The sequence below is a fragment of the Homo sapiens genome, chromosome 1 (assembly GCF_000001405.40).
Source record: "Homo sapiens chromosome 1, GRCh38.p14 Primary Assembly".
In the NCBI taxonomy this organism is placed as follows: domain Eukaryota; kingdom Metazoa; phylum Chordata; class Mammalia; order Primates; family Hominidae; genus Homo; species Homo sapiens.
This window is the reverse complement of record NC_000001.11, coordinates 94,384,400-94,407,528: the sequence shown is the minus strand read 5'-3', so window position 1 is coordinate 94,407,528 and position 23,129 is coordinate 94,384,400. Positions and strand designations below refer to the sequence as shown.

General features: G+C 39.5%; 1 protein-coding gene and 1 pseudogene across 1 annotated transcript in view; one reads left to right on the top strand and one right to left on the bottom strand.

Moving 5' to 3' along the window:
- The window catches only part of ABCD3 (ATP binding cassette subfamily D member 3), a 133,533-nt gene extending 111,135 nt beyond the window's left edge, over positions 1-22,398 (bottom strand). The window contains exon 1 of the mRNA XM_047426556.1: positions 22,291-22,398. The gene's annotated coding sequence lies outside the window, so the exon portion shown is untranslated. The remainder of the gene's footprint in view (positions 1-22,290) is intronic.
- On the top strand, positions 607-1,142 carry RPL21P26 (ribosomal protein L21 pseudogene 26; annotated as a pseudogene).

Genomic DNA, 23,129 nt, shown 5'->3' with positions numbered 1-23,129 from the left:
AACTTACAAGAAATGTGCAAAACCTATATGAAGAAAATTACAAAACATTCCTGAAACACAGAAAAGAAGACTTGAGCAAATAGAAAGACACCCCTTGTGCTTGGTAATCCCAGCGCTTTGGGAGGTCGAGGCGGGCGGATCACCTGAGATCAGGAGTTTGAGACCAGCCTGACCAATATGGAGAAACCCCATCTCTACTAAAAATACAAAATTAGCCGGGCATGGTGGTGCATGCTTGTAATTCCAGCTACTCGGGAGGCTGAGGCAGGAGAATCCCTTGAACCCAGGAGGTGGAGGTTGCGGTGAGCTGAGATCGGGCCATTGCACTCTAGCCTGGGCAGTGAGAGCAAAACTCCGTCTCAAAAACAAAAACAAAAACAAAAGGATGTTTCAATATCATCAGTATGTCAGTTCTCCCTAAGCTAATTTATAAGCTTAATGCAATTTTAAGAAAAAAATCCTATGAGGTTTTTTGTTGTTGTTGTTGTTGTTGTTGTTTTTATGAAGGTAGACAAGTTCATCCTAAAGTTTATAGGGGAAAATAAACATCAAAGAGCAACTGAAAAGGCAGGTTATAGCCCCACTAGATAGTGAAACATACTATAGCCTTTTGGCTGTAACCACCATCTTTCAGTCATTCGCCAAGATGATGAACACAAAGAGAAAGAGGAGAGCCACCCAATACATGTTCTCCAGGCTTTTTAGGAAACATGGCATTGCTCCTTTGGCCACATACATGCAAATCTATCAGAAAAGTTAAGTCATAAACATCAAGGAGATGGGCACTTGTTGAAAAAGGAACACGGCACAAGTGTTACCATGCCATAACTGGAAGTCTACGATGTTCTCAGGATGTTGTTGACATTGCTATAAACCAATACTTTAAGGACAAGATTCTTATCAAGAGAATCAGTGTGTGTACTGAGCACATTACATCATTACATACTCTAAGAGCTGAGATAGCTTCCTGAAACGCAAGAAGGAAAATGATCAGAAAAAGAAGGGAGCCAAAGAGAAAGGTACCTGGATTCAACTGAAGCGCCAGCCTGTTCCACCCAGAGAAGCACACTTTGTGAGAAAAACTGGAAAGGAACCTGAGCTGCTGTAACCTATTCCCTATGAATTCATGGCATAGTAAGTGTAAAACAACAACAACAACCCACTGGACTGTAAAAAAAAAAAAAAAAACAAAACAAAATACTATAAAGACTCTATCATTAAAACAGTGTGGTACTAGTACATGAATAGACAGATCGACAGAATGGAAAGTCCAGAAATGGAGACAAGTGCATATAAAAATTTAGTGTATGATAAAGGTAATATCCCTTCTCACTCAGGCAAATATAGTTGTTTTTTTTTTTAATAAATGGTGTTGAGATCGCTGGATAACCATTTGAAAAAAAGTTAAATTCCTTCCTCAGACCATACACAGGAATAAACTCCACATGGATCACAGATATAAATGTGGAAAATAAAATTACACAAGTACAACAAGAAAACATGGGTAAATACCTCTGTAATCTAGATATCAGAAAAGGTTTTCTGTTACTAAAAATTCAAATGCACTAAAAGAAAAAATTGATAAATATAATTTTTAAAAATTTCTAAACTTTGGCATGCCAAAAACCATAAGCAAAGTCAAAAGGCAAACAACAAACTAGAAGAAAACATTTGCAGCCTACATTGCAAATAAAAAATCAGTATCCCTAACTGATAAAGAACTTATAAAACTTAAGGAAAAAGACCAAAAATCCTACAGAAAAATAGGCAAATGACAAGAACAGACAATTTACAAAAAGAGATACAAAAGCTGGTCTTTAAACACGTTGGAAGATGTTCAACATCGCTCCTAATAAAGAAATGCAAGATAAACTATACTAAAGTCAGTTTCTCACCCACAACTTTAGCAAAAAAATTCAAAAGCTTGATAATGGCGGTGTCTCATGCCTGTAATCCCAGTACTTTGGGAGGCCGAGGCAGGTGGATCACCTGAGGTGGGGAGTTCAAGACCAGCCTGACCAACATAGAGAAACCCTGTCTGTACTAAAAATACAAAATTAGCCAGGCGTGCATGCCTGTAACCCCAGCTACTCGGGAGGCTGAGGCAGGAGAATTGCTTGAACCCAGTAGGCGGAGGTTGTGATGAGCCAAGATGGGGCCATTGCACTCCAGCCTTGGCGACAAGAGTGAAACTCCGTCTCAAAAAAAAAAAAAAAAAGCTTGATAATGTTACTATGTGGCAAGGTATGGAGAAAATAAATACCCTCATGCATTGCTGGTAGGAATGAAAAGCAATTGAGGGGAATTTGGCTACACAGATTCAAATATAAAACTATACAGGCATTTACCCTAGAGTGTTACCTTTTGGAATTTACATATACTAGGAAGTAGATACACACCCAAAAATACAAAAATGCAATATGCACAAGATTATTTTGAAATAGCATAATATTGAACACAAACCAACTGTTCAAGTATAGGACACTAATTAATCTTTGGTATATACACATAATGAGTTCTATGCAGCTACACAAACTATAATAGGGAAGATTTCTTTTCTGTTTGTTTTTTTTTTTCTTTTTTTTTTTTTCGAGATGGGTCTCGCTCTGTCACCCAGGCTGCAGTGCAGCGGCGCAATATCAGCTCATTGCAACCTCCGCCTCAAAATAGGGAAGATTTCTAGGAACTGAAATGAAATAATTTCCAGGAGGTATAATTAAGTTTTTTATAAAAGCAAAAGAGCTTATGAAGGATGCTAACTTTAACATATGAAAGAAGGGAAAATAAAGATATATACATATATTTATTTAACTTTGCGAAAAGTAATACTAGATGAAAAATCAGATAACAATGAAATTTGTGACCTACAAGGGGATGCAGAAATAGAATGGAAGGGATGTAAAAGAGTAACACTTCTCTGAGACTATCTTTTTGCATAAGCTTGACTCTTGGAAGCATGATTACATTCTACATATTCAGAAATGAAATTCAATGAATAAGAATAAGAAGGAAAAAATGAAAAACTGAAAGCAAACCACAACAAATGAAACTGATTTTATTTCATATTAATACCATAACCACACTGGAGAGAAAAAACAAGAGAGCCAAAGATGGAAGAGAGGAAAGAAGGAAGGAATCCATGTAGCTTATGAACATAATATTTGACTATACATCCTCAGTCTTGTGCAGGGTTGTGGATAAGGAAGAATTACACATGAACCCTGAACTCATTATAGTAGACTTGTTTATTCTAGTATTATGGGCAAAGTAATTCTTAAACTGTTTAAGAATTTTATTTTGGATTGATCAAATGAGCAAAGGTATTGATGTTGTTGGGATCTAGAGTTATCACTGACGAAGAAGGGACAAAAAAATTATGGAGTAGGAGAAAACCAAAAAGAATTCTGAGGGGGATGGATTGCAACTGGAAACCTCAGATGTGATTGTATAATTTGTAAAATATGTATGTGGTATGTGTATGTGTGTATATGTGATAAGTATGCATGTATATGTACTTACAGGTATACATTTGTATACTAGTGTGTATACATTTACATATTTCTTTGTTCTGTCCACTGAAAAGACCAAGAAACAAAGTCTGGTAGCAATGATCATACCTCATACCTAGATCTTGGTCTTTTAACACCATTTACCACTAAAAGGAACAAGGGCTCCTCAAAGAAATGGCTAATTCCAGGGATGGAGCAGGGTAGGTATAAGATGAATATTTAGTCATATCAGAAAATTAAAAAGTTGATTAAAAAATCATGAGGGCATGTCACAGGAACACAGGAGTCATCTTGAAAAGGCTCCTCCAGACCAAACCTGAGATAATTTGTACACCAAAATAAGTCCAGTAATAAATTATAAGCCATTGAAGAAATAGAAATTAATGAGTTCATATCTACAATAAACAGACAAATAAATAATAGTGGAGAAAAGAGGTCTCTTGATTACAGGTAAATGCGAAGGCCAACTGGTAAGGGAGGAGTGCAAGCTGGAAAATTATTATTTTGTGACAATCATAGTGGAAATTGAATCAGGCAAGACTCATCAATGGGTGCCAAAGCTAGGAGTGAATTTTGATGAGGAACAGGATATTTTCATAATCTTAAATGATCTGCTGACAGATAACTGCTTATTAGTTACAATGGAGAAAACATAGTCATTTTACAATGAATAAACTGGACAAAATCTTGACTGGTCAGTCCAAATTAACATCACCAATGTAGGAAAGATGGATATCTCACGCCTCTCAACATCTCCTATGCAAGATTCCAGCCTAGAATGCATAATATGAATCTCATCATGAGGAAACATCAGAACAACCTAAGACGAGGATCATTTTGTTTAAAAAGGGAGGAAGTGCCACATTTTCAGCCATAAAAAATGATGAGTTCATGTCCTTTGTAGGGACATGGATGAAATTGGAAATCATCATTCTCAGTAAACTATCGCAAGAACAAAAAACCAAACACCGCATATTCTCACTCATAGGTGGGAATTGAACAATGAGATCACATGGACACAGGAAGGGGAACATCACACTCTGGGGACTGTTGTGGGGTGGGGGGAGGGGGGAGGGATAGCATTGGGAGATATACCTAATGCTAGATGATGAGTTAATGGGTGCAGCGCACCAGCATGGCACACGTATACATATGTAACTAACCTGCACAATGTGCACATGTACCCTAAAACTTAAAGTATAGTAATAAAAGAAAAAAAAAGAGAGGAAGTATTATATTCATAATAACAATCAATGTCATAAAAGGCAAAGAAAGAATATGGAAATGTTCCAGATTAAAGGAGGCTAAAGAAGTGACAATCAAAAGTAATAGCTGACCCTAAACGGGGTTTTAGATTAGAGCGTGAAGGGGGTAGAGGACGTTGTTGAGGACATTATTGGGTCAATAACCAACAAAACTGGAATACTATTGGTAGGTTAGAGTATTATATCAATGTTACATTTGCTGAAATTGCTAACTATACTGTGATTATATTACAGAACATTCATATTCTAAGGATATATACACTCAACTTCTTAGGAGTAAAGAGCCTTCAAATGGCCCTGAGGAAAAACACACACATACATAAAGAGCACACACATAAATGATAAAGCAAAGGTTAAATATTTATAATTGGCAAATCTGAATAAAGGGCACATGAGTGTTTGTGCCATTTTAAGCTTTGTAACTTTTGATAAATTAGAAATTATTTCAAAACAAAAAGATTTGTTTAGAAAATAGAAAATTTAAAGACATATTAAAGAACACTCATAACAGCCTTATTCATAACCTCCTAAAACTGGAAACACACTCAGTGTCCATCAGCAAAAGAATGGGTAAACAGGTTGTGGTATATCCAGACAATGAAACATTACTCTTCAATAAAAAGGAAGAACTGCTGAAAAGTACAGCAACATGAATGAATCTCACAAAAACTGAGTGAAAGGAGACAGATAAGCAGACACACACTACTTGATTCAATGAATACAAATGCGAGAACAGGCAGAACCAATGTATGATAAAAGAAAGTGGGTGCATGTGGGAGCGGGGTAAAATCCACTGGAAGATGGCATGAAGGAACTTCCTTGGGTGACAAAAATGTTCTATATTTTCTTTGGGGTGGTGGTTTTATGGGTATTTACAAATGTCAAAACTCATCAAACTGAATACTTAAGACCTGTGCCTTTTATAGCATGTAAATCATAATCCCAAAGAAATGAATCAATGAATGAATGAGCAAACAAGCTAACTAATCATTTTTTAAAAAGAAAGATCTTAAAGATAAATTCAGATTGATAGAGTTGCATCTACTTAAACATCCCTGGAATTTGTTCCAGTATTAAGACCATTTACTTGTAACCTTATGTCCTGAGAAGGACCTGAAATATCTAAAAATATGAAAGAAAAAATAACTTATCTTAAGAAGACCTAAGGTATCTGAAAAATGGAAGGAAAATAATTTATCTCAAATGTCTCTCAAGCAACCTTCAGAATAGTTAAGAATGCCCTGTGGGATTTACAGTTAATTTCAAAACACAACTAACCAGTATGTGATTCAGAAAGATGCCTATGTTGTTGTTATACTTGGAAAGATTTCTAGATTTTGCTGGTTGGAGATTTTGTTTCATACATATAAACAGTGGCACATTCCTGTAGAATTGGGGCATGTTTGGGCACCATTCCGTATTGGAAATGTTTCCCTGGTCTGCCCACGCTGGGCACCAGGCCTACGACTATACATGCTAGCAGGTTCGACCAGGCTTGGATATCTCTCTTAAACAGTATATGAAAGAATTCATTTTACTCAAGCAATAAAATGATTAGTTCATGTTCTTAATCCGTTTTTGGCTGCTTATAACAGAATACCTGAAATTGGGTAATTATAAGAAACATAATTTATTTCTTACATTCTGGAGGCTGGGAATTCTAAGGTTAAAGGAAGACATCTGGTGAGAGCTTTCTTGCTAGTGGGGAATCTGAAGAGTCCCAAGATAGCACAAGGTATCACATAGCAAGGTGACTGAGCATACTCACGTGCTAGCCACCAGTTCCCCTCCCCTGATTAACACATTAATCCATGAATCCATTAACAGATTGGTCATTCAAGAGAGCAGTGCCCTCATGATCAATCCAATCACCTTTAAAGGCTCTACTTCTCAATACTACCACACTAGGAATTAAGTTTCAACATGAGTTTTGGAAGGGACATTCAAACCATAGCAGCTCAGAAACGTGAAACTGCACAGTGGTAATAATGTAAGTTTAAATATCAGTGCTGTATTTCAAGGATTCTCGGCTATTATCATACTATAGTTTGACAGTGAGCTGCAGCTCCTCTTTCTCTAGGTGCTGGTGAATCCTTCAGCTGGAAGGCACAAGGGTGGTGTCATCCCCTGATCCTGTGGCAGCTCCACCTCTTATGTCAGGCTGGCACTGCTGTTCTCCTGCTCTCTTTTGCCTCAGAGTGCCACACTGGTCTAGAGGGGAGGGTGCTTCCTGTCATCACAGCTAATACACAAATTCCAGAGGTTCTCATTTTCTTCAGTTCCTCAAAGTTTAATTTCAAAGACACATATTTTATCAATGACTTTCCTTTTTCTTTCTTTTTTTTTTTTTCGAGACAGAGTCTCACTCTGTTGCCCAGGTTGGAGTGCAGTGGCGCGATCTCGGCTCATTGCAACCTCCGCTCCTGTGTTCAAGCAATTCTCCTGCCTCAACCTCCTGAGTAGCTGAGGTTGCAGCTGCCACCAAGCTGGACTCATTTTTGTATTTTTAGTAGAGATGGGGTTTCCACTATTTTGGCCAGGCTGGTCTCGAACTCCTACCCTCAGGTGATCTGCCCGCCTTGTCCTCTCAAAGTGCTGGGGTTACAGGCAGGAGCCACCCAGCTTCAATTACTTTTTTATTGTTCTAGGATGTTGTGCTTCTGTTTACAACTGATCAAATCTTTGCAAAACAAGAACTTCCATAAGAAAATCTTTGAGACAGGGTCTTGCTCTGTAGCCAAAGCTGGAGTGTAGTGGCACCCAGGAACCTCCCACTCCTGGGCTCAAGTGATCCAATCACCTCAGCCTCCAGATGCTATGACCTTCTGTTTGCAAGCTTCTCTACAAATCCCTACTAAATCGCTGGTGCAGCCAGAATGGGAAGGTTTTATTTCACAGCTCTCCATGTCATAACGTAGAAAGTAAATATTATCTGGATGGAGTCCTCCCCCAAATACACAAATGCCTTTCCCCTCTAACTGCAGCACTGCGGCATCTGAGGTCAGAAGTGATGTGTGTTTGTGTTTTGTTTTGTTTTTTTGATTGTTACAAGTTATCCATGCCACACCCAGCCATATTTGGGTTGCAGATTGATCTGAGCACATGCTCTTGAACAAAAACACCAGGAAGTAGAAAGAACAATGGACTTGGAGTCATGAGTCTGGGTTCCACCTCAAGCTTTCTCATAAATGACTGTGTAATTTTAATCTTTGGCTCTCAACTTTCTCATGTGTGAAATAAAAGGGTCAATACTGGTTACCTCTGGGAACGGGTATTGGAATCATTGGCTACTGAGAGATTTCCAGATTTAGAGGTTGAAGACTGGGCCGGGCAAGGACTTACCAATGGAGATAGTAGACAAAGCCCTTACATACTCACACATGTGAACACCACTGAGGGAGAGTCGTTTTTCAGATTACACAGTTATCTACTGTTAAACAAAAATGTGTGTGCATTACTTTTATACATTTAAAAAATTCTAAAAAGTTATAAAATATAACACTTTTGAACAAGTTGACTGCTAATCTCCTTTCTGTCTTGAAAATGTTATTGTAAGGTGTTGGGCAGGGTGAAGGAATTCACTCCAAGGGGCTGTAGAAGGGAGTTTTAGGGTGATGGACCTGTTCTGCATGATACCATGGTGGTGAGTACATGACTTTGTGCATTTTGTAAAACCCACTGAACTGCATGCTACTACATATGAGTACAACTACATACTACCGAAGAGTGAAATGTACTATATCCAAGTTTTGTTTTTTTTTTGAGAGTACAACTACATACTACTAAAGAGTGAAATTTACTATATCCAGGTTTTTTTTGTTTGTTTGTTTTTTTGAGACGGAGTCTCACTCTGTCAGTCTGTCGCCGGGCTGGAGTGCAATGGCATGATCTCGGCTCACTGCATCCTCTGCCTCCTGGGTTCAAGTGATTCTCCTGCCTCAGCCTCCAGAGTAGCTGGAATAACAGGTGCCCGCCACTATGTCCAGCTAATTTTTTTGCATTTTTAGTAGAGACAGGGTTTTACCATATTGGTCAGGCTGGTCTCTAACTCCCGACCTCATGATTTGCCCGCCTTGGCCTCCCAAAGTGATGGGATTACAGGCGTGAGCCACTGTGCCCAGCCTATATCTAAGTTTTAAAAAATATATCAGGCTACCAGGAATCCCAAGATGGAATGCAGACTATGACAAATAAATGTAACTGTATACCAAACCGCAGGGGGTGGGGGTGGAGCTGACCTAAGTAATTTTGGAAAACAGTGTTTTTACTGAAAACTGTTAGGTTACAGTCAAAAAGAACTGAATAAAATCAGTGTATTCTACTTATGTTTCAGACAAGAATACACGTTAGCAATTCTGACAGGTTAGTGATTCTGATATTATTTTATAGGTATATTAGGGTTGAACACAGAAGTAAATAAATTGTAGATAATGCAAGTCATGTTTCCCACTGTCAGAAAATGAAGTTACAAGTCAGCAGGAGAAGGATGGCTAGAATCAACCCTCTGGCGCTAGAATAGGGTCAAAGATAGCAGTAGGAACTCATGTTGATTGATTGATAGATGATATAGAAATAAAAAGAGCTTTCATTTGCCATACCTGGAACAATTCTGAAACAAAATTAATAATGATAGTATTGGATTATAACCCAAAGAATAAAATAAAAATTCATTAGTCTATACTGATAAAAATTATGATTGAATAAATAAATGGGGTGAAGAAAAAACTCTCACAGAAAAATTCCAGCATTCCAAAGAATAAATGTAGATGGAATGAGTGCAATAATAATAAAAAAATTTGAACATCTCAGTAATAATTATTGTGGTTAAGACTCAGGGATGAATGCTAAAATTACTGGGTGAAATTTTAAAGAGAAACAGAATGGTAGCATAGCCTCAAAATATTTTCCCTGAAACATATATTAAATGCTGTGGTGATTTTAATGTCTGTCCAAAAATTCTTTGATATTCCTCCCTCCAAGCAGTGTAATTTATTTACCTAGCCCTTGAGTGTTAATTGAAGTTAGTAACTTGTTTCTAATTAATAGAATATGGAAAGGAAAAAAAATAGTAATTTTATAGTAGAGAAACCTGGCACATACCACCTTAGCCAAGTGATCCAGGTTAAAAACACCAGGAAGAAATTGATGAGCACATGTTGATATCATGTGTCCTTGACATGATGCAATGAGAAGAGCACTTCATCTCCATGGCATTCTCCCAAAAAGTCCATAACCCCCAACTAATTATGAAGAAACATCACATAGACTCAAATCGAGGGATATTCTACAAAATACTTGACCAGTACTCTTCAAAAGTGTCAAGTTCATGAGCAACAAGGAAAGACTGAGAAACCATCACAGATTGGAGGAGGCTGAGGAGTCACAGCGGCTGAGTGCAATGTGGGATCCCACTTGATCCTGGAGCAGAAAAAGAGCATAAGTGGAAACGCTGGGGAAATTGAAATGAAGTCTGTGGTTAGTTAGCAGTGCTGTACCAGTGTTGATTTCTTGGGTTTGATAAATGTGCCATACTTAGATACAATGGTAACATTAGGGGAAGCTGGATGAAAGGTATACAAGGATTCTCTGTACTATCTGCAACTTGTCTATATATTAATAGTTAAAATTGTTTCAAAATAACAAGTTTATAAAAAGGTTATGATAAAATGTCTTCAGTGCCACAATAAAAAAAAGTGTCTAATCAAGAGCTTTATTTTTGCATCCTGAAATCAAGTAAGAAACTAGCATAAATAGACAAATCCTAAAAAAATTTAAATATAAAGAAATATAGGTGAATATACACTTTTTTTCTTGAAATACAACATCACAGGCCTATCAGCAAAGCCTGGGAAAATAGCCTGCAAATCACATGAGACTAGAACTAATTACTTTGCCATTTAGCTTGCTTTTCATATCTTTAAATAACCCTCCGGAGATCATGCGGTTCCAGGCCAGGGAACCATTTCATTCCCATCCAGGCCCATGGGCCCACAGGAAAGCCTTAATATTAGTACAAAGCAACTCAATACAATTTCAGGTATTTTTCAGAGATAGAAATACTTAATGTTATATTTATGTAACTATAAAATTAAGAAGAATTTACATAAAATTGTTCTATAAACACACACGCACGTGCGCGCGCGCACACACACACACACACACACTTCTATTCACATGAGGAACAGTTTGTGGAATGAGAGGCAGACGAGAGGAAAGATGAAGAGGAGCTTCCTATATCCCTGGGCGGGCACTGACTTGATGGTGACCCCTGCAGGGGGATTCTAGAAAACGAGGTTGGATGAAGTGTTTGCTGGAAGCTCCTGAGAGTAACTGCAGTCTGAGTCCTAGTAAATGATGAATGTTAAAGTTCAGTAAGTGAGATTTTGTTGTCAGGTCCAAGAGGTGAAAGGGGAAAAATGAATAATAATTACAGCTTCTGTTTATAGTGGTGTATCTCACTTTATTCTCACAATAGCACTATGAGATAGATACTATTATTATCCCCTTTACTAACTGGGGAAACTGAAGCTAAGAGACACTGAGGAACTTGCCCAAGCTCACACAGCTAGTAATTGAGGAAATAGGATTGGAATCTGGGGTTCTATTGGAATCTATTGTTTGAGTTCTTAACCACAGCACAGAGTCTAAAGCTGAGCACACACAATAACCAAGAAGGAAAGGATAGGCAGAAATAATGTGAGAGAGTTTAGCATTTGCTTCAGAAACCTGAGATCCATTTTCAGTGCTGCTAGGACTGGTTTCCAGGTTTAAAGATTGGAGGAAACAAGGAAGTAGCCATGGAGACAAAAACATGAAAGTGTTTCTGTCTGTCTGTCTCTGTGTGTGTGTATGTGTGTGTGTGTCTCTCTCTTTCTGTCTGTCTCTCTGTGTGTCTCTTTGTCTCTCTCTCTCTCTCACACGCGTGCACACACACACACACTCACTCACACTGTAGTCTCATAGAGGAAATGGAAATGGAACTACTACAGGTAACCACACACACCTGCAGAATTAATTTTAATGGCAAAAACAGCAATTACTTTTGCACCAACTATTTTTACTTGCTCTTTCAGATCCATTTGCCATCTCTTTGGCACTCTGCACTGTGCCACAGGATCATGACCTTTATCAATAGCATTAACCAAGTCTGCAGTTGGATTTGGCCAATGGGAAGCACTGGTAAGAGACTGGAAAATTGGAGGACAGAAAAAGGCTGACGGACTTATTCCCCTGATTGTCTCCTTGATTGGTGATAATTTATGCATTCCTATGCCAAAGGCCACGGTTCCTGCTGGGAAGTCCTCTTCTACTACTACAGCTCTCACCGGTTTCAGTAATCTCTCTCTCTCCTGACCTTTCCAGTTTAGAAATGGTAATGGCCTCCTGCTGTTGAGGAGTTCCCTGTGGAACTCCACCATCTCTTCTGGTTTTCCTATATCTTGTCACATGTCTGTGAACAGCACCTTCATTAATTGCCCCCTTTCATGGTTCTCTTTCCTGCCAGGCTCCTGACTGATAAAGCAATTAAAAAGGGAGTAGGATGGCTCTAGGAAACAGAACATATGGATAACCCTCTTGCTAGGGGGAGTATTGAGAGAAGCATTATTCAGACTATGGAATGGAATGCAGAAGAAAAGCAAGGTTCAGGAGGATACCCAAGGCATTTAGTGGCTAAGGTAACAGTAAGCACAAAGATTGCATGGCCTGGGATGTCTCATAACTCTGGAGAGCATATCTAGAGAAAAGGACAAATGTAAGGCACTGAATGCCAGACACAGGGCATTGGTGGGAAATCAGAAAGTATCTACTGCATTTTTAAAAGAGTCTCTTAGGTCCTATAGAAACAAGATAGACACGATTGAAAATTAAACACAGAGCCTGATTGGAAATGCTGCAGAGTTGAAGGGTCCTTTTGATGTTCAGTCTAACACTCTCCCAACTGAACTCTTTTGGCTGGGCTGCAGTGTCAATTAAATGCACAACACTTTAGGTCTCTTGTACTAAGTTACAACATCGATAGGAAAGGAGTAGGAACCTAAGACACGTGGTGGAGACATTCCAGCAAAAGAGGTGGGCTGAGAACTTTGAATCCTCATGTCCCCTGAACATTCCTTGTCAGCACAAGCATTTTCCTCTCCGCTCTCTGAGGCAAGCAGACTCCCCCTTAATAAAAATCTGCCAATGGCTACATTTTCCCATTTAACTTGTCCATTGGGCTGGTGGCAAAAGCCAAACTGGCCTTGGAATATGAATGTGGATTTTTGCAAGTTTAAATAGGTGATGATGTCATTTGCAGTCTGGCACCTGGTATGCAGATACTGACATGGAAAATGCTTTTTCTCCATTTCTATCAGCAAAGGTAATCAGAAACAGTTTACCTTTACATGGCAAGGAGCATGGCACACCACCATTGTTTTATTACAGGGCTATGTCAACTCTCCTATTCTGTCATAATAGAATCCAGAGGATGATAATATTACTGTCTCACAGATTATCATACTGGTCCATTACATTGGTTACATTATGCTAATTGTGCCTGGTGAGCAGTAAGAAGCAAGCACTCTAAGTTGCCTTTGTAAATCACATGTATGCTAAAGAATAGAAGAAAAATTCTGACAAAGTTTAAAGGTCTGAAACACCAGTGAAGTTTCTGTGGGTCCAATGGTTGAGGCATATTAAAATAACTGCTCCAAAAGTTAAAAATACCTGGCATCTTCTATCACAAAGAAAAGAACTCTTTGGATTTCAGAGGCAACCTATACCATCTTTGAGCATCCTTCTCTGATCCTGTAAGCAAGTGAGACACAAGGCATTCAGTTTTGAGTGGTGTCCAGAGCAAGAAAAGGCTCTACATCAGGTTCAGGCTGCAGGGCAAATTTCCCTGCCACATGGGCCTTATGACTTTATGGATCAATCGTATTGGAAAGATCTCTGTCAGATATAGATGCTATAATAGGTCTCTTGGTTGATTAAAATAATGCCAACCTGGATATACCCTTCTTTCTGAAACTTAAATTATTCTTACTGAATATATATATTCAACTGAATTTGACTTTGTGTGTGTGTGTGTCTTCAGTCGCAATCTTCTTTCTTTCTTTTCTTTTCTTTCTTTTTTTGAGACAGAGTCTCACTCTGTTGCCCAGGGTGGAGTGCAGTGGCATGATCTCAGCTCACTGCAACCTCCTCCTCCCAGGTTCAAGCGATTCTCCTGCCTCAGCCTCCCAGGTAGCTGAGATTACAGGCATGCACCACCAAGCCTGGCTAATTTTTGTATTTTTAGTCGAGACGGGGTTTTACCACCTTGACCAGGCTGGTCTTGAACTCCTGACTTCAGGTGATTCACCTACCTCAGCCTCCCAAAGTGCTGGGATTACAAGGGTGAGCTACCATGCCCAACCCACAGTCTTCTTTCAATCTCTTTCGGATCTTCCTCCTTCTCCCTCTCTCTTCCCCCTTTCTCCTCCTCTTTCTCTTCCACTTTACTCTTTCTCTTTCTGAATAAGTATGTTATGAATATCCATTATGTGCCAGAGATTGTGCTAAGCATTCTATTCTTTGAGTTCTTTAGTCAAGGACTCATTACAACCATCTACAATAAGACTTTTCTTTCTTTCTTTCTTCTTCTTTTTATTTATTTATTTATTTTTTTGAGATGGAGTCTCGATCTGTCACCAGGCTGGAGTGGTGTGATCTCGGCTCACTGCAATCTCTGCCTCCTGGGTTCAAGTGATTCTCCTGCCTCAGCCTCCCGAGTAGCTGGGATTACAGGTGCGCGCCACCACAACCAGCTAATTTTTGTATTTTTAGCAGAGACGGGGTTTTACCATGTTGGCCAGGATAGTCTCCATCTCTTGACCTCGTGATCTGCCTGCCTCAGCCTCCCAAAGTGCAGGGATTACAGGCATGAGCCACCACGCCCAGCCTACAATAAGACTTTTCTAGACAGACTCTTTTCTTTAAAAAAAGGTCACAAATCTCTCTATAAAGACCCATATTTGCTTTGTTTTCAGATTTTAGCAGAAGGCACAGTTGTTTTCTTCACTTTGATTAAAAAAAATGGTCCTCTTCTGAGAGAACTACCCTCTTCCATTGAACCCGCATCATTGGGAAAGATGTATTTACGGAAAAGGAAGAGAGGGAAGGTACAATCACATGCCCTCTGGTGATCAATGGGATGGCAGATGTCAACATCAGATCACCCGTATAACAAGCAATCATTTTAAGGTAAGATGGATAGAATGCTTCAAAAAGTAAAGCAAAATGTCTAACAGGATAGACTAGGGCTGTGCTGCAGTAATAAACAACTTCAAAATCTCACTGACCTAACACAACACACATAATTTCTTGCTCATGTCATGTGTTTTTTGTTGACCTACTGTAGGCACCATTCTGCATGATCCTCACACAAGGACTCAGGCTGATGGAGCTTCATCTGCAGCTTTTCAGGTCACTGTTGCAGGAGGGAAATCCATGGCAGACTGTGCATTGGCTTTTAAAGGCTTCCACTGGGAACGAACACATGTCATTTCCACATGCATCCTATTGGCTAAAGCCATGGTTGAGTTTAAGAAAGAGAAGAAGAATTCTATCATATGCTTCAGAGGAGAAACAGAAATGTTTTTAAATAGCATTAATTACCACAGAGGCAGGAGAATAGGGTCTGAAGGCAAAGAACCTAAGGCCAAGTCACACTGACTTCCTAGAACTAAATCTAAAGAAAAAACCCCAACTTTCCATGCTCAAGTAACGAAAGGACCAAAGGCCACTCCCTTTGCAACCACTCCCTCCCCCACCGTTTTCTGTGTGGCAGATGAAAAATTGAAAGAACCTCTGATTGGTCTCCTCCCACAACAAATCAGGCTGGTTGTGAGCCAAGTCTTCATTTGCATAGCAGTATAACTTTGTAACTTCACTTCAACCTCTGATTGGTCTCTTTCTGCAACCAATCAGATGTTTGCACAGGATGTAACTTTGTAACTTTTTTTTGAGGAAAGGGTCCAAAGATTCAAGGAGGTAAAAATATTAGAATGAATGTATTATGTGTGATCAGAGAAGCTGGCACTTGACAATGTTTCCTAGGAGGATCCAGAGGACACCTCTTTCATGAAAGCAATGAGGAGTGCAGTGCTAAGGAGCACTCATTATTTGAGCACTTTGTGATAACTGTCTTACATAGGCTGGGCTTGACAGAAGATATTGCCATGGAATTGAGATTCCTAGTATCAAGGGGATGACAGGACCTGGAATGGAAGAGGTCAAATGGCAGGCCTGTTAGAGTGATGTGGACATAGCTGCTATGACAGCTACTGCAAGGCTAGAGTAGGATTCAATATGCCTTGACCCTGAAGAATCTGCAGCAATGGCTGACAAGTCAGGGCATTCTGACGAGGGCGACAGAGAGTCAACCAAAATGTTACTTACTCTTACTAGGTTGGTGCAAAAGTGATTACATTAAAAATAATGGCCAAAACCAGCAATCACTTTTGCACCAACCTAATATAATAAAAAGAATACATCAAGAGCTGGTGAACAGAAACATTTACCAGTTTTCACTTCAGAAAAACAGATTTTCCTCACCCACTTTCCAGATAAGTCATTTCACAGACCTGGAGCCCACTCATTGAACAAGAGATGGGTAACCTGAGGAAGGATTTTGCAATACTACTGCAAGGATATATGATAAATATTCCCCAAAAGGATCTAAGACTATTTATCAGCGTAACTGTGAACCTGCAAAAAGAAAATCCTCAGACTTTTCAAGAAATGTTGTATATGAGGAACGTGGCTCTGTATTGATTCTGAATCAAGGGACCTGAAATACCTTTATTATGCTCCAGTTAGAATGGGGGCATAGAGAAGCCAAGTGATAGATGCAATTTTAGCTCAAGTATGTCTCATAATCGGTTTAGGGGATCTGTTAGATCTAACCTTTGGCTATTTCTCTGGTTTCTGAATGTGCTGTCGGGATATGGATAGTTACTAACTGGCAGAACCTTCATATTTTTCTCCAGCCTACAGAGTAAGAGCCATCATGGTAAGACACTTGCAACTGTCCTTCCCCTCAGCCAAGTTAATATGTCTAAGTAATAACACATATGGGAGGAATTGCAGAGATTAGCAGCACCATTAAACACTTTAAAAGTGCAGGAGTGGGCTGGGTGCCATGGCACACACCTGTAATCCCAGCACTTTGGGATGCCGGGGTGGGTGGATCACCCTAGGCCAGGAGTTCGAGACCAGCCTACCCAACGTGGTGAAACCCCATCTCTACTAAAAATACAAAAATTAGCTGGGCTTGGCAGCGTGCACCTATAATCCCAGCTACTCAAGAGGCTGAGGCAGGAGAATTGCTTGAACCCAGGGGGCAGAGGTTGCAGTGAGCCCAGGTCACACCACTATACTCCAGCCTGGGTGACAGAACGAGAGTCTGTCTCACAAAAATAAATAAATAAATAAAAATAAAAAAAATTAATAAGTGCAGGAGCATTGATATCCATTATATTCTCAACTAATTACCCACGTGACCCCTACAGGAACTCTATGGACCATGGTAATGAGGGTGAATTTAACCAAGTGATGGCTTAAATCAGGTCTGCCACATCAGATATGGTGTCTTCTAGAAGAGAACAAGACTGCCTTTGGCACTTGGAATGCTGCTATTGATCTGGTGAGTTTGCTCTTTCTTAATTTCCATCAGTAAGGACCAAAGGAGTTCATTTATACATAGAAAGAAAGGCAGTACATATTTGCCATTTTACCCCAGGTTTTTATTAACACTCTTGCTCTCTGTCACAATATAGTCTGCAGAGATCTTGGCTATCTTGACATTCTACAGACTATAACTGTGATCTATCATATTAATAATATCATGCTAATTGGACCCGATGCACAGGAAGTAGCAAATATTCTAGAGGCTTTAGAAAGACATATGCGCTGCAGCCATAAGGACTATAGCAGTGAAGGGAGTGGAATTTATTAGACCACTTTTTATGCATTGCCAAGACCAGCTCAGTCGGGGACACCCTAACCCAGGGGCACTAGAAGAATTAAAGACACACACACAGAAATATAGCATGTGGAGTGGGAAATCAGGGAACTCACAGCCTTCAGAGCTGAGAGGCCGGAACAGAGATTTACCCACATAGTTACTGACAGCAAGCCAGTGATAAACATTGTTTCTATAGATTATGGATTAACTAGAAGTATTCCTTATGGGAAACAAAGGGATGGGCCGAAACAAAGGGAGGGGTCTGGCTAGTTATCTGCAGCAGGAACATGTCCTCAAGGCACAGATCGCTCATGCTATTGTTTGTGGTTCAGGAACGCCTTCAAGCAGTTTTCTGCCCTGGGTGGGCCAGGTGTTCCTTGCCCTCATTCCAGTAAACCCACAACCTTCAGCATGGATGTCATGGCCTCATGAACATGTCACAGCACTGCAGAGATTTTGTTTATGGCCAGTTTTGGGGCCAGTTTATGGCCAGATGTGGGGGCCTGTTCCCAACAATGCATGAATTTATATCCTCTCCAGCCCTCTTAGGCATCACTGTAGTAACCAGTTTTGGACAGGCTTTGAATAGTTTTGCACAAAAATAATCTGATAATATTTTATCTGGGCCTACTACATTCTATAATTGTTGCTTCCTGCCCTGGAGATACTTTAATGATGAAGTGTGCGATACCAATAGGAAGCCACTTGCCACCCATGAGCCAAATGGAAATGTAAGATAGTTACAGTCATGGGGCAAAGCTTGCCCAATATGGTTGGAAGCCAGTGGAGAAATGCTTTTCTCTCTCTTCACTCAGATGGGCAATTTTAAGATGCATCTCATAAGTTAGATCCTCAGAAGGTCTTGGTGGGATTGAGCAACAGTTGTCCATAGTGGCTGCCAAATCAATAATGCATCATTAAATTGTTTTTTGTTTTTCCTTCCCTATTTTACTCCTCCAGACTCTCACTCCTCCTCCTTAGAATACTTCTTAAATAAACTACCTGAATGCAAGACTCTGGCGTTTGGAGGACTCAGGCTAAGATGATTCTCCATTGTCATTGTCTGTGTTACTCCACTTGTTTGGGGGAATTCTATCTTCTGTGGCCACGTGATCTGAATAGGAACTGCTATATTCTTAGATAACTTTATCACCTCGGCCACAGAAGTTGGTCAAGGGATGAACATGGGACACAAGATGGGGCAAGTAGGGTGCTTCTCCAGATTTTCTCTATTTGGAGCTATTAGGAAAAATAGCCTTCCTTTCTAGTTATAGAATTGTAAGCATATAGGTTTTTAGCCACTTGTAGCATGTTGTCCACAACTTGAAGAAATTGGTCTGAGAGAATAGAGCTGACATCAGAAAAAAATTGGAGGGAAGGTATAAAGTGATAATCTCAGAATGCTCTGCATCAATCATTCATAATCTAGCTACATATACCCTTTACAGTCATGCAACAATATATCTTTGTGCGGGTGGCAATAAGTTTCTGTTCATGTAGACGTTAGTTTAAACGGAATTTCTTTCACTTGTAATTCAAAGGCGTTCATAGATAAGAATTCCTTCATGGGAATTATGTTTTATTTTTAAATAAATTTCATGTCTATCCCTTGCTTCCTTGAAATAATTTTACTTGTACTTGGTAACTATAAGTAAATTTTACTTGAAAAGTATAGCCATGTCTGAAAAACATAATTAAGAAACATACAGAGTTGAAGAGCAGTGTGGGCTTTGATGTCAAATAGACCTACCATTTCTAAGTTATGTGACCTTTGAGCAAGTGACTTAAGCTACCTGAGCCTTCACTCCCTCATTTGTATCATAAGTGCTCAGTGCAGGAAAACAGAAAGCACCTTGGGTATTTCAAGCAGAAAGAGATTTAGTACAAGGAATCAGATTCTTTAAAAATTAATTGCCCAGGAGGAATAAAAGTTGGGAGGCCATCATTCACTGTCACATTATAATGCTGCTGCTGTTATTCAAATATTAGAAAACTTCAGAGACCCTTGTCGCACTCAGAGCTGAAGATCGCATAACACTGACAATGTTTACTTAACAACTTTCACCCATGCAGAATAAAAGTTGCTATTTTCCTCCCACAACTATGTTTTATGAATGCCTGATCCTACATTTGAATTTTTTTCTTCTGTTAAGTAGCACAATGGGTTTGGTTTTGCTAAGGTAAACCCAAAATTGAGTTTGTGAAAGGGTTCAAGAAATGGAATTGTTCTTCATAATAGAAGAGTTTGGAGTTCTTCAGACCATCAAGAAGGGAAGGGGTAAGGATGAGAAGGAAAATGGGAGAAATATGGAGAGAGGAGAGAGCAAGGTTGTCAGTAGCCTGGTGCCATGTGGGATGCAGCAGGGAGCTCCAAGAGCTTATAGAAATGGAAATGGTTACCTGTTAGTGTCTTTTAAAAAAATGCCCCAGTTAAGGCACCATCACTGCTTCCAGTTTCCACCAAACCAAAGTAAATAATGATGGTATGGACTATTTCAAACTACTCAAGTCCTGTTGTTAAATAGAGGCTCAGAAAAGTGAAGTGGTGTCAGAGTGGCAAATGGCAGAGTCAGAACACACACCCAGGCACTTGGCAATAACACTGGGGAAGGTGTCAGACCTTCCGTAAATTGTGAAATAAAGGTTTAAGCATATTTAGCAGGAAAAGCTTCGCATAGAAAAAATGTTCCAAAATACAGAACCAAAGCTAAATAATCTCTGTGAGCACATCTACTGAAAAGAAAATGTTAACAAATCAAGGAGATAGTTAAACTTCTTATAGCAGCTCCAAATAATCATCATAGTCTCTCAGAGACACAATTCTAAAAATTAAACAGAATAAAAGAAATGCTGCTCATTGAAAATCTTAATTGACCCAGTAAATTTTATTTTATTTTATTATTTTTTCTTTTGAGATGGAGTCTTACTCTGTCACCCAGGCTGGAGTGCAGTGGCTCAATCTCAGCTCACTGCAACCTCCGCCTCTTGGGTTCAAGCAATCCTCCTGGCCTCAGCCTTCTGACCAGGGAGTTTTTTAGTCATCAAATACTCAACTGACTGCTTAGAAAGTTCAAATTGTTATATTTATAATTCTCATATTGACTACAAAGGATTCAGAAAGTATAAAAAGTTATTATACTAATCCTACAGCATTTTTACTGCCTTTTGCCAAATTTATTGTATATATTGACTTGTGATATTGTTATGTATCTACCTGTATTTTCCCTTCCACTGGATTAAAGTTCAGCTTTGCATTTCTGCAAACTGCCTTGTAAATAATAAGTAGCAAATATATGCCAAATTAAATTGATAGTCTAGCGGTACTAATAATGTGTAATAGAAGAGATTAAAACCCAGGTTATCTTAGTAATTTGACACTTGCTTTGAAAAGTGTGAGAATGTGTTTTTGAAACTCTACGCGTATTGTTTCTATTATGAAATTAAAATATAATTTAGGAAGCCCTGAATTAATATCACACCTTTCTTCCAAGAAGCCTGTTGCTCATCATGGCCTTCAAGGCCACTGTTTAAGAAATAGATGGTCATTGCCAATCCCACCACCCTTCTACCCATCCATGGCCCAGAGAAAGGAGTTCTTGGCTGTTCATCTTGCTTTGAAGGGAAATGTGGCTTTGGCAGCTGTGGGAAATTTCTTTTTTTCTTTGAAACTTACATATAAAACATATTGAGAGAAAGAAAGAAAGAAAGAAAGAAAGAAAGAAAGAAAGAAAGAAAGAAAGAAACAGATTCTAAAAGTAATCTCTTCACTTCTAAAAATTTGGAAACTATAGTACGTATCAGGTATCGAGAAGGAAGTGAATATAACTCCTATAAGCTAACTTTCTAGTCTTTTTTTCTTGAGCATTTTTTTTTCATGGTTAAGATTACACACTGCACATTCTACTTGGTAACCTGCTATATATAGACATATATCTATATGCATCTCCGCACCATTTATGAGAATTGATGTCTTTAGTGACACAGATAAACATCTCTTAAAGTTGGGTTAGGGTGACAGTTCTCAAGCTATGGGTAATGATTAAGAGCAGATTCATAAGTTAGACATAGGAGCTTTGAAATGTAAAGTTCTTTGGAAGATTAGCTACGCATATTTTCCATGGACAGGAAAATGGAACTCATCTGTGTTTGAGGCCATGGCTGACACATACAGAGTACCTCTGTACCACCAGGTGCATGACAGCCAGAGAAATGGCAACAGATGGCAGGGGTTGGTGTCAGTGGCTCCTGGTCAGGTGGTAAGTGCTCTGTGCAACAGCATGGGTACAGTCCTCTGGCCTCTTTCTTCTTAACTGCTCCACATCAAGTGTGTTCTCTTGACACTTTTGCTCTCCCTCTTTTTTCTCAGCTTGCTCTCTCTCTCTTTGCTTTGTATTCTGGAGTCTCCTCACATGTTGTAAAATCAGAGGTCTCCTTCCAGTCCACAAGTGTATTTTATTTGCTCAGGACACTTTCTAGACTTCCTGGAATGCCAGTTCCAAGATAACCTCATTTGTTCCCCAACACTCACCTCTCGGGATGGCCATGTGCCCCTTCTGTCAGCTAAGAGAATGCCCCATTCTTCACTCTGGGAACAAGTCTCCCCAAGGTGTTTCAGAGAGAGCAAGATTTAATCTGCCCAGATCTGGTTCCTGCTACAGGAAAAACTCAGTTCTCGGGGATTCATCTGTGCAGCTGCCACTCTACTTCCTGTTCCTGGCTGCTATCAAAGTCATTCACACCAGACATCATTTTTTTAAAAAAACAGGTTCAGCCTTTGAACAATGTATCTGCTCCTCATGTGTGTACTTTAGGGCTGGGTAGGCCAGTAATTCCTCTTCTCTCCATCTCTTAGGGACTTTGGAGAAAGGCCCAGCCTTTTTGCTCTAACTATGCTTAGCATTGCCTCCCCTGCAGCCTCTGAGCCGCCACTCACACCTAAGAGTAGCTGTCGGCATTAAGTGGAAACTCCCTCTGAGTTAAGAAAGCTTCTTTTCTCCCTCTGCTAGGGCTTTTAGAATTTTCCTGGTACATCTGACTCTGCTGGGTCTAGGAAGCACATTAAGTCCCACAATCCACCTGAGTAGTTAGGGTCTCAAGACATTATCCTTTGCTGCAGAAACATCCACAGTAGTGCAGAGATTGGCACCCACTACAAGCAAAAGGCTGGTTTCAGAAATTGTCTCTCTGAGTGTTGAAGTCAAGGTGGTAGTGTTGCCTAGGATAAAAAATGTTTATATTAACTACCCTTTATTGAGCCCCTAGGATGGGCCATGTGTTATTTAATTTTATTATATAATTATTTCATTTTAATCATTACAGTAACTATGTGAAAGTAGGTATTATTGATCCTAGTCACAATTGAATAGA